The sequence below is a fragment of the Homo sapiens genome, chromosome 3, assembly GCF_000001405.40.
Source record: "Homo sapiens chromosome 3, GRCh38.p14 Primary Assembly".
In the NCBI taxonomy this organism is placed as follows: domain Eukaryota; kingdom Metazoa; phylum Chordata; class Mammalia; order Primates; family Hominidae; genus Homo; species Homo sapiens.
In genome coordinates this window covers 177665126-177677380 of record NC_000003.12, presented here as the reverse complement: position 1 = coordinate 177677380, position 12255 = coordinate 177665126, and the positions used below count along the sequence as shown (strand labels likewise).

At 43.0% G+C, this 12255-nt stretch overlaps 1 long non-coding RNA gene across 1 annotated transcript in view, besides 1 other annotated feature; it reads right to left on the bottom strand.

The window, feature by feature from the left end:
• LINC00578 (long intergenic non-protein coding RNA 578) overlaps window positions 1–12255 on the bottom strand; it is a 310784-nt gene that overhangs the window by 75324 nt on the left and 223205 nt on the right. The window lies entirely within an intron of this gene.
• Window positions 10969–11507: an enhancer, noted in NCBI's record as "NANOG hESC enhancer chr3:177383662-177384200 (GRCh37/hg19 assembly coordinates)". NCBI's record gives its function as "activates a minimal SCP1, AML or CMV promoter by ChIP-STARR-seq in naive H9 embryonic stem cells {active_cell/tissue: H9 hESC(naive)}" and the evidence as "EXISTENCE:reporter gene assay evidence [ECO:0000049][PMID:30033119]".

The window sequence follows — 12255 nt, the reverse complement described above, 5'->3', positions numbered from 1 at the left end:
GAATAGCAACCAACAGCAAGGCAGAGGTAAGAGCTCCAGCTTTTTTGGAAGCTCTCCTGAAGGCCCAGATATTTTTAGATTATTTTTTAAATGGAAAACAGACATACACACTAAATGGCATAGAACAAACACCCAGAAATATTTTGCTTCGATTTTTCATGGGTTATTTTTACAGATCTGTCTTGCTGTGTGAATTTCATTGTGAATGAAATGAATCCGTGAGCATGCTTCCATGGAAACCTGTTTCTTTGTGATTGGCTGAGCGGTATCCAGGCAATTCAACAATACCTCAGAAAGTACAAGTACTGTTAATATTTAACAGACACAGTAAAACCTACCAACCCCAACCCCATGGCATTTGTTATGCAACTCACCATTAATAAAGAAATGCAGGTCCATCGTAACATTTTCTCACCCTCGAAATATCCTTGCAAAGTTTTTGTTTTTCCCCTTGTTGAAACCTGACATACAGAGAAACAGGAGTGGGGAGTGGAGGAGGGAAGGACAGGACACGAAGGAAAAGGCATAAAACCTTGAAGATGTGATCAGATAAAGCCTTATCATCCTTGTAATTGATATTGCCACCATTTCATTTGTTTTGTTTCTAAATAGAACTCATTTAAAATGAGAAATTTGCCCAAAACGAATGTTTCTGCCATTTTACATTTAATCATGATTAAGAAAGAGAGAATCATGTCACCTAAGACAATTTATATAATCATAAGCATACTAGTGTGACTAACCAAGCAAGATGAGGCAAATGATACATATTAAAAGGCCCAAAGGGGGCAATGTGTATTTACCAATGTCCGTGGTAAATTGAGGGTTTTTTTCATTTTTTTTAAGTGTATATGATTTGAAACTCCCAGTGTGGCTTGAAATAAGAAAAGCAGTGATACAAAGAAAAGTCCCAAGGTGCAACAGAGTTAAATTTCCAAGTAATCATTTTTTCTGCAACCCCTACACTGTCTGGATACTTTAGAACTCCCCCTGTGTATTTAACACTTTGCTTACATTCTCTCGTGAGCAAATCAACCACTTAATAAGAGACAACGGTACTGGAAAGCAGCCAGAGTTTTTAACATTTGCCTATATTAACATTCCACTTAGGATATTCTTATTTGAATATCTTACTGGAGATTATTTGAGTTACTCAACTCCTGATACAGGATACAATTTGAAAGCACGGAGTTGATAAGAAGAAAATTACTATATTTTAAGCTTATATATTAATGACTCTATAGAGACGTCTTTATTTTGTGTATAAATCTAATGAAAATCAGATTATGACATGCTACTAGGCAAAAATCTCTGGACTATTTCTAAAGCTGATATTTACTGAGAGCCCAGAAGATAGTTGTGCATGTACCGTAAATCATTAAATTGATATGAAGTTGAGTGATAAACTGGCTTTAAAAATATATAAACAGTAGTATCTGAGTTGTGATGAACTAATTTAAATTTATAAAAGACTGCAAAATTATATATCAAAATATTAACCATAATTATCTCTAGGGTCTTATAAGTAGATTTTTGTGCTTTCTCTTTTAATGTACACTTTATTCTCTCCACATTTTTCAAGGTATGTGTTATTTAAAACGGAAAATGTATGTGTTTTAAAGATACTCTCAATGATCTTTTCATCTTTCTTTGTAAGGACAATTAAACCTTAAATGTATAAAGAGCCTCACACATTTTAAAGTATTTCACATCCATTATCTCATTCCAGGCACACAATATCCTTGGAGGAAGGTATTACGGAGAGTGGACTCACAGACAAGGAAAATGAAAGCCAGTGGTCAACCAACTTGCTAAGATGGTAGGGGACATTAAGAGTCAGAGTTGGGGAACAAATCTGAGTCTTGGGGTCCCTATTTCCAACACTTAGATTATATACGAGTTATATTACACTACTGGTTTTCACATCTTTTTAAACTAAATCCATTCTTGTGTCTTAATTTTTATATCTGTTCCTGCATTTAATGCATTTTAAGAAGCAAGCAGATGCTGGGCCAGGTGCCTTGGCTCAGGCCTGTAATCCCAGCACTTTGGGAGGCCAAGGTGGGTAGATCACTTGAGGTAAGAAGTTGGAGACCAACCTGGCCAACATGGTGAAACCCTGTCTCTACTAAAAATATAAAAATTAGCTGGTTGTGGTGGTGGGCACCTGTAATCCCAGCTACTCGGGAGGCTGAGGCAGGAGAATCGCTTGAGCCCAGGAGGTGGAGATTGCAGTAAGCCAAGGTCACACCACTGCACTCCAGCCTGGGCAACAGAGCAAGACTCTGTCCAAAAAAAAAAAAATAGAATAAAGCAAGATGCTCAATAAACATTTGTTAATTAATTTACAACAATCTTTCCCTCTTTGTGTTTTTTTCTTAACTCATTTATCTATGCAGCTAAACATACTTGCTTAAGAATTGAAGAATAACACTTCAGTCAAATTTTCCTTTATGCTATTTTCTAAAGTTTGAAATTCTGGGGATTTAAAATACGTATACTTTCCTAACTACTCATGCAGTGTTGGAGAAAAGGGTATAAGAGAAGACAAACCTGAATATGCATCTAAGCAGTTTATACAGAGCAATGCCTAGAAAGGAGCAAGGGGTACCGCATCAGTGCCCAGTCTCCAAGCCTAGTGCATAGTAGAGAGAGGGAGAGGGGAAGGCAGGTGTATACTTTCCACTTCAGCCCCCTGCCCAGTCTAGTCCAGAGTGCGATCAGCAGTCAGGATAAATGGAGTTCCAACGGACAGCCCCAGGATGCATGGTAGAGAAGGGGAAAAATGAAAAGAGGAATACCCCAGGATGCCAGGATGAAAGGGAAGTTACCTAGCCTCTTTCCTAGGTGGCTAACTTGTTGTTTGCATCAGCAGTCACTGCTAACATACTGGAGGAAATTAGAAAAAGGTGCCCCTTCTTCCTGTGGACATAGTCTGGAACCAAAGTGTGCAGCTTAGTGAGTAGAGGGGGGGTTGGGTTACAGCCCTGGCCTGTCCCCTGGCCAGGAAGCCTCATGCAGTAAGCAACCTGCACAACTGTGTGCGGCAGCCCTGCTCAAGAACTGGAAACATAATCAAGTTGAGTCTGCCTCTAACTGGAGAGTATTTCCGACTCCTCACCAAAAAAGTATCCTTTGGTTGATAAATACACGTGCACACACATCTGATGTATTGCAGAGGAAAAGAGGTGATTTTTAGAGTCCAGAGGTAAATGAGTTATTTCTCTAGTTAAAAGGAAAAATGGATACTCTCATGGATTACTGTAATGATTGAATAAGATTATATATGTCACGCACAATACCTAGCACTAATCAATCCATAAAATGTCGGTTCACTGCCATTTTCCCTTGCTAATACTGAAACTATTTAGATAAAACTGCTGTTGCTGGGGTAATTTTTAAAATCTAACTCTTTCTTGCCACAAATCCCAAAACCTTCCTGTTTCCCACATAGGAACAAACTCTATCCCCTCCCCTACCACTATCCTTACACCATATGCATTTTACAGTAGTAGGCCGTCTGCCCTAGATGCTGAATCCATGTGGAAGAACTGCAAGTTAGTTTTGTGTGAAATGTTAGAGCAAAACTCAAAGCCAGCTCTGACTTTACATTTTATAAGGAAGCTAAAATTTGGCCCATGTTTGCAAAAAATGTTGCCAGCATTTGCTATGGGCCTGCAAGCAAAAGATTCCAGATTTGTTGAAAGCCAGGCAGAAGTCAGGCATATCTTCCAAATGTCATTTTGAACACTGACCCTGAAAAAAATGAGCAGAAGTTGACGCACAAGACTGTGCAGGAAAAATGTGCCGAGTCATAACTTCCAATGAACATGGGTTACAGCCCTTCCTGCGGTTCTGTCTTAAATGAACTCCATAGGCAGATGAGCTGTTTCTGAATGTTTATTATGGCCTCTGGTGAGCCAATAAGTTTTCTCTTTTCCTATTGCTTTTTAGTTAAAAAATTATAAATGCCTAGAGAATCCACCTGCCATCCTTTGGCTAAGTTAAAAGGCAGTGGTAAGAAGACAGCCATGCTCTGTTAGTGGTCCCAAACTTGGCATTGATTACTAGGCTGGCATGTGATGACACTGTTTTCAAAATAGCCTTTATCCAATTGCTAAGGCAGCTGCAGCCCTCTCAGAACCTCTGAAACCTGGGATCTCACAAGTAAACAATGATCACCATGGTGTTTATATTTTATTAAATGTCATATAGCCAGATTTTTCTAACCTGGTATAGCTTTAGCCAGAGACAATTTCTAGAGGATGAAACTCAAGGCAATTATCTAACATGCGGTATAAATGAAAATTTGTATGAATCAGAGAAACTCTATTATCAAGACAAGCTTGAGAATAATGGAGGACACTATACAGAACACAGATCAAATGCTAGAATTAAGCAACTGAAGTCAGAATGAAAATGTACACAAAAACAACACAAAATGCAGGCATCCTAAAACTTGGGGAATAAAAAATAGGTTCTTTTCAGGTTGAGAATAAGGTGGGGGACGAGATAACAGAAAACAAGTTAAGACCTTATGTTCCCTTTGGAGTGTTCTGAGTTCTAACAACTTCCCAGCTGAGTATGGCAGGTGAGACGAGATCCGGTGAGATGTGGAAGAGAGAGAAAAATAAGGCCCTGGATTTGCCCTTTGACTCTCACCCCGTGGTATGTCCCCTGAATCTGACCAACATTTTCGTAATCATGAAGATTAGGACACACGTGCCTCTTAACAAACAACTCCAAATCCTGGAATCTCACCTTTCCCCATTCCCATAAGTAAATCAGTAGCCTCTATTGTGATGGGGGAAAAAAAAACAAAAATAAACATATGAATAATCTTAAGGACATTTCGCCTCCTCGGAATTTTTGAAGCATTTTATTGACTCTCAGGATTTCTGATCCTTTATCATGGTCGTTCATATGTGTCTTATCTCCCTTACCATATACCCTGAGCACTAAGTGCAGGACAATTTACTGCTTGGTAGTTCACAGATCTAGTAGAGTACCTTGAGTAAAAGAAATGCGTCAACATTGATTCATCTGTTCACAATATATCCATATACTTTCCTAAGTCCAAAAGTGATACATAGTTAAGAACAAAAAGAGCCATTTGAACTGCAGAAGAGAATAGTTTCAGCATCATTCCGTTTCCCCCTGAATGTATCTCCAGATTCATTTTTTCCACAAGAGTAAGAACAAGGAGCTTTGCTAGAATACAAGGTACTTTTGCCAGGGTACCAGAGTAAAGACAACATGGTCTCTGCCCACCAGAATTTATGTAGGGACACAAGAAATTGAGAAAATCATTGCAACAATGTAGTAATGGGTAGTTTTGTGTACCAGGGTGCAATCATGGCTCACTGCAGCCTTGAACTCCTGGGCTCAAGCAATCCTCCCACCTCAGCCTCCTGAGTAGCTGGGACCAGGGGCACAAACCACCATGTCCAGCTAATTTTATTTATTTTTTTTTTTGTAGACACAAGGTCTCACTACGTTGTCCAGGCTGCTCTAGAACTCTTGGGCTCAAGAGATCCACCTGCCTCAGCCTCACGAAGTGCTGGGATAAGAGGCGTGAGCCACTGTGCCCTGCCTAGTTTTGCTTTTAAAATGACTTAGAAAGAGGGCGATGGTGGGACTCGAGAAGAGGACTTATCAATCAGCCTCCTCCTGGGAATCCAGAGAACTTTGGGCTCCCAGGGGAGATGTTATCAGAGATGAGGCTGGAGGTACGCATAGTCTTCATGACACATGGTCTTGATGACTTCATGTCAATCAAGTTCAATACTGACTGCCATGCACATGGCAGTTGCTTCATATTTGCTTCACAAAGCAAAGGTAGGCTGGGACAGACAGCTTTTAAGCTATAAGCTCTTTAACTAGGTAGACTGTGGAAGCATTAATATGGATGATACCTAGTTTTTTAAAGACCCATTCTGCTTCCCAGTTGGCCTCCTTAGGAAAAAGGAACCCCTCCCAAGAGGTAGGCAAGCCCAAGGTAATCTCATTGTACCATCTAGGCCTAAGAGAGACAGTCTACTGAAATATAAGATAGGGACATGGAGCACTGTCTGAATTATCTCTATGCTATTCCCAGGGCCTAGACAATACTTGACACAAAGTAAGCCTTCCAGAAAAATTTGTTGAAACGAATGAATGAATGAATGAATGAATGAGGAAAGAACCTAAAACAATAAGCCCAAACATAGACCAGAGGCCACAAAAACTGAAGCAATTCTTTTACCTTATGTCAGGGCCTCTGAGCCCAAGCCAAGCCACTGCATCCCCTGTGACTTGCACATATACCGCCCAGATGGCCTGAAGTAACTGAAGAATCACAAAAGAAGTGAAAATGCCCTGCCCCACCTTAACTGATGACATTCCACCAAAAAAGAAGTGTAAATGGCCGGTCCTTGACTTAAGTGATGACATTACCTTGTGAAAGTCCTTTTTCTGGCTCATCCTGGCTCAAAAACTCCCCCACTGAGCACCTTGCTACCCCCACTCCTGCCCGCCAGAGAACAAACCCCCTCTGACTGTAATTTTCCTTTACCTGCCCAAATCTTATAAAATGGCCCCACCCCTATCTCCCTTTGCTGACTCTCTTTTCGGACTCAGCCCGCCTGCACCCAGGTGAAATAAACAGCCATGTTGCTCACACAAAGCCTGTTTGGTGGTCTCTTCACATGGACGCGCATGAAATTTGGTGCCATGACTCGGGTCAGGGAACCTCCCTTGGGAGATCAATCCCCTGTCCTCCTGCTCTTTGCTCCGTGAGAAAGATCCACCTACGACCTCAAGTCCTCAGACCGACCAGCCCAAGAAACGTCTCACCAATTTCAAATCCGGTAAGTGGCCTCTTTTTACTCTCTTCTCCAACTTCCCTCACTACCCCTCAACCCCTTCTCCTTCACCCTTAGCGGCAAGTCCCGCTTTTCTAGGGGACAAGAACCCCCAATCCCTTATTTCCACGCCCCGACCCCTTTCCCGCTTTTCTGGAGGGTAAGAACACTTGAACCCCTTCCCTCCATGTCTCTATGCTCTCTTTTCTCTGGGCTTGCCTCCTTCACTATGGGCAACCTTCCACCCTCCATTCCTCCTTCTTGTCCCTTAGCCTGTGTTCTTAAGAACTTAAAACCTCTTCAACTCTCACCTGACCTAAAATCTAAGCGTCTTATTTTCTTCTGCAATGCCGCTTGACCCCAATACAAACTCGACAGTAGTTCCAAATAGCCGGAAAACAGCACTTTCAATTTTTCCATCCTGCAAGATCTAAATAATTCTTGTCATAAAATAGACAAATGGTCTGAGGTGCCTGACGTCCAGGCATTCTTTTACACATCAGTCCCTTCCTAGTCTCTGTGCCCAATGCAACTCATCCCAAATCTTCCTTCTTTACCTCCTGCCTGTCCCCTCAGTCCCAACCCCAAGCATCACTGAGTCTTTCTAATCTTCCTTTTCTACAGACCCGTCTGACCTCTCCCCTCCTCGCCAGGCTGAGCTAGGTCCCAATTCTTCCTCAGCCTCTGCTCCTCCACCCTATAATCCTTTTATCACCTCCCATCCTCACAACTGGTCCGGCTTACAGTTACGTTTCGTGACTAGCCCTCCCCCACCTGCCCAGCAATTTACTCTTAAAAAGGTGGCTGGAGCTAAAGGCATAGTCAAGGTTAATGCTACTTTTCTTTATCAGACCTCTCCCAAATCACTGAGCATTTAGGCTTTTTCATCAAATATGAAAAACCCAGCCCAGTTCATGGCTCGTTCGGCAGCAACCCTGAGACGCTTTACAGCCCTAGACCCTAAAAGGTCAAAAGGCCATCTTATTCTCAATATACATTTTATTACCCAATCTGCTCCCAACATTAAATAAAACTCCAAAAATTAGAATCTGGCCCTCAAACCCCACAACAGGACTTAATTAACCTCACCTTCAAGGTGTACAATAATAGAAAAAAGTTGCAATTCCTTGCCTCCACTGTGAGACAAACCCCAGCCACATCTCCAGCACACAAGAATTTCCAAACGCCTGAACCGCACTGGCCAGGCGTTCCTCCAGAACCTCCTCCCCCAGGAGCTTGCTACAAGTGCCAGAAATCTGGCCACCAGGCCAAGGAATGCCCTCAGCCCAGGATTCCTCCTAAGCCGCGTCCCATCTGTGTAGGACCCCACTGGAAATCGGACTGTTCAACTCACCTGGCAGCCACTCCCAGAGCCCCTGGAACTCTGGCCCAAGGCTCTCTGACTCCTTCTCGGCTTAGCGGCTGAAGACTGATGCTGCCCGATCACCTCAGAAGCCCTGTAGACCATCACGGATGCCAAGCTTTAGGTAACTCTCACAGTGGAAGGTAAGCCCATCCCCTTCTTAATCAATATGGAGGCTACCCACTCCACATTACCTTCTTTTCAAGGGTCTCTTTCCCTTGCCTCCATAACTGTTGTGCGTATTGACAGCCAGGCTTCTAAACCTCTTAAAACTCCCCAACTCTCGTGCCAACTTAGACAACACTCTTTTAAGCACTCCTTTTTAATTATCCCCACCTGCCCAGTTCCCTTATTAGGCTGAGACACTTTAACTAAATTATCTGCTTCCCTGACTGTTCCTGGACTACAGCTGCATCTCATTGCCACCCTTCTCCCCAACCCAAAGCCTCCTTTGTGTCCTCTTTTATCCCCCCGACCTTAACCCACAAGTATAAGACACCTCTACTCCCTCCTTGGTGACCCATCATGCACCCCTTACCATCTCATTAAAACCTAATCACCCTCACCCTGCTCAAAGCCAAGATCCCATCCCACAGCACGCTTTAAAAGGATTAAAGCCTGTTATCACTCGCCTGCTACGGCATGGCCTTTTAAAGCCTATAAACTCTCCTTACAATTCCCCCATTTTACCTGTCCTAAAACCAGACAAGGCTTACAAGTTAGTTCAGAATCTGTGCCTTATCAACCAAATTGTTTTGTCTATCCACCTCGTGGTGCCAAACCCATATACTCTCCTATCCTCAATACCTCCCTCTACTACCCATTATTCTGTTCTGGATCTCAAACATGCTTTCTTTACTATTCCTTTGCACCCTTCATCCCAGCCTCTCTTTGCTTTCACTTAGACTACCCTGACACCCATCAAGCTCAGCAAATTACCTGGGCTGTACTGCCACAAGGCTTCACAGACAGCCCCCATTACTTCAGTGAGGCCCAAATTTCATCCTCATCTGTTACCTATCTCGGCATAATTCTCATAAAAACACACATGCTTTCCCTGCTGATCGTGTCCAATTAATCTCCCAAACCTCAATCCCTTACAAAACAACAACTCCTTTCCTTCCTAGGCATGGTTAGTGCAGTCAGAATTCTTACACAAGAGCCAGGACCACACCCTGTAACCTTTCTGTCCAAACAACTTGACCTTACTGTTTTAGCCTAGCCCTCATGTCTGCGTGCAGTGGCTGCCACTGCTTTAATACTTTTAAAGGCCCTAAAAATCACAAACTATACTCAACTCACTCTCCACATTTCTCATAACTTCCAAAATCTATTTTCTTCCTCATACCTGACGCATATACTTTCTGCTCCCCAGCTCCTTCAGCTGTACTCACTCTTTGTTAAGTCCCACAATTAACATTGTTCTTGGCCCGGACCTCAATCTGGCCTCCCACATTATTCCTGATACCACACCTGACCCCCATGACTGTATCTCTCTGATCCACCTGACATTCACCCCATTTCCCCATATTTCCTTCTTTCCTGTTCCTCACCCTGATCACGCTTGATTTATTGATGGCAGTTCCACCAGGCCTAATCGCCACACACCAGCAAAGGCAGGCTATGCTATAGTACAAGCCACTAGCCCGCCTCTTAGAACCTCTCATTGCCTTTCCATCATGGAAATCTATCCTCAAGGAAATAACTTCTCAGTGTTCCATCTGCTATTCTACTACTCCTCAGGGATTATTCAGGCCCCCTCCCTTCCCTACACATCAAGCTTGAAGATTTGCCCCCATCCAGGACTGGCAAATTAGCTTTACTCAACATGCCCCGAGTCAGATAACTAAAATACCTCTTAGTCTAAGTAGACACTTTCACTAGATAAGTAGAGGCCTTTCCTACAGGGTCTGAGAAGGCCACCACAGTCATTTCTTCCCTTCTGTCAGACATAATTCCTCATTTTAGCCTTCCCACCTCTATACAGTCTGATAACAGACCAGCCTTTATTAGTCAAATCAGCCAAGCAGTTTTTCAGGCTCTTAGTATTCAGTGAAACCTTTATATCCCTTACAGTCCTCAGTCTTCAGGAAAAGTAGAACAGACTAATGGTCTTTTAAAAACACACCTCACCAAGCTCAGCCACCAGCTTAAAAAGGACTGGACAATACTTTAACCACTTTCGCTTCTCAGAATTCAGGCCTGTCCTCGGAATGCTACAAGGTACAGCCCAGTTAAGCTCCTGTATAGACGCTCCTTTTTATTAGGCCCCAGTCTCATTCCAGACACCAGACCAACTTAGACTGTGCCCCAAAAAACTTGTCATCCCTACTATCTTCTGTCTAGTCATACTCCTATTCACCGTTCTCAACTACTCATACATGCCCTGCTCTTGTTTACACTGCCAGTTTACACTGTTTCTCCAAGCCATCACAGCTGATATCTCCTGGTGCTATCCCCAAACCGCCACTCTAAACTCTTGAGGTAAATAAATAATCTTTGCTGGCAGGACTATGCTGAACCTCCTTAGGCACTCTCCAATCAGATGTCCTGGGTCCTCCCAATTCTTAGACCTTTTATACCTGTTTTTCTCTTTCTCTTATTCCATTTAGTTTTTCAATTCATATAAAACCGTATCCAGGCCATCACCAATCATTCTACACAACAAATGTTTCTTCTAACAACCCCACAATATCACCCCTTACCACAAAATCTTCCTTCAGCTTAATCTCTCCCACCCCAGGTTCCCACGCCGCCCCTAATCCCGCTCAAAGCAGCCCTGAGAAACATCGCCCATTCTCTCTCTCCATACCACCCCCCAAAAATTTTTACCGCCCCAATACTTCAACACTATTTTGTTTTATTTTTCTTATTAATATAAGAAGGCAGGAATGTCAGGCCTCTGAGCCCAAGCCAAGCCATTGCATCCCCTGTGACTTGCATGTATACGCCCAGATGGCCTGAAGTAACTGAAGAATCACAAAAGAAGTGAAAATGCCCTGCCCCACCTTAAATGATGACATTCCACCACAAAAGAAGTGAAAATGGCCGGTCCTTGCCTTAAGTGATGACATTACCTTGTGAAAGTCCTTTTCCTGGCTCATCCTGGCTCAAAAAGCTCCCCCACTGAGCACCCTGCGACCCCCACTCCTGCCCGCCAGAGGACAAACCCCCTTTGACTGTAATTTTCCTTTACCTGCCCAAATCTTATAAAACGGCCCCACCCCATCTCCCTTCGCTCACTCTCTTTTCGGACTCAGCCCGCCTGCACCCAGGTGAAACAAACAGCCATGTTGCTCACACAAATCCTGTTTGGTGGTCTCTTCACACGGACGTACATGAAATCTTCCTTCTTCATATTGAGATTCTCACCAACACCACCACCCTAAAAAAAGTTCCTGAGTTCAATACTTCCTTGACCCTTCCTCTTGGAGTGTATGAGAGGAGGAATCAGAGCTCTCCCTGGATATGGAAGTATGTGCAATAAATTCATTTTTAAAGTATGCTCAAAGTTTTGCTGGGAATACACTAGAGAACAGGAGAAAGCGCTTACTTCATTCAGCCTTAAGGTTAAAGAAGGTTTCTTGGAAGTGGAGCCATTTGAGCTATTTACATTCCATGAGAACCACAAAGTGTGCCCTTCAGAAGAACTCTGTACTTAAAACATGATGAGAAAGGCAATGAGAAAGACAACTTCATGCTTTTCCCCATAAAAAAAAAAAAAGAAAGAAAAAACAAACAGCAACAACAAAATTGTCACAGATATCAAAGACTATTTCCTGGCAACATAATCCTGAACTTATTTAAAATGCTGGTAGCTTATTCAACAGTTCAAGAATAAGAAAAGAGGGTTGCACAAGATGGCCGAATAGGAACAGCTCCGATCTACAGCTCCCAGCATGAGTGACGCAGAAGACGGGTATTTATGCATTTCCAACTGAGTTACCAGGTTCATCTCACTGGGGAGTGCCAGACAGTAGGTGCAGGACAGTGGGTGCAGTTCACCGTGCATGAGCCGATGCAGGGCGAGGCATCACCTCACCTGGGAAG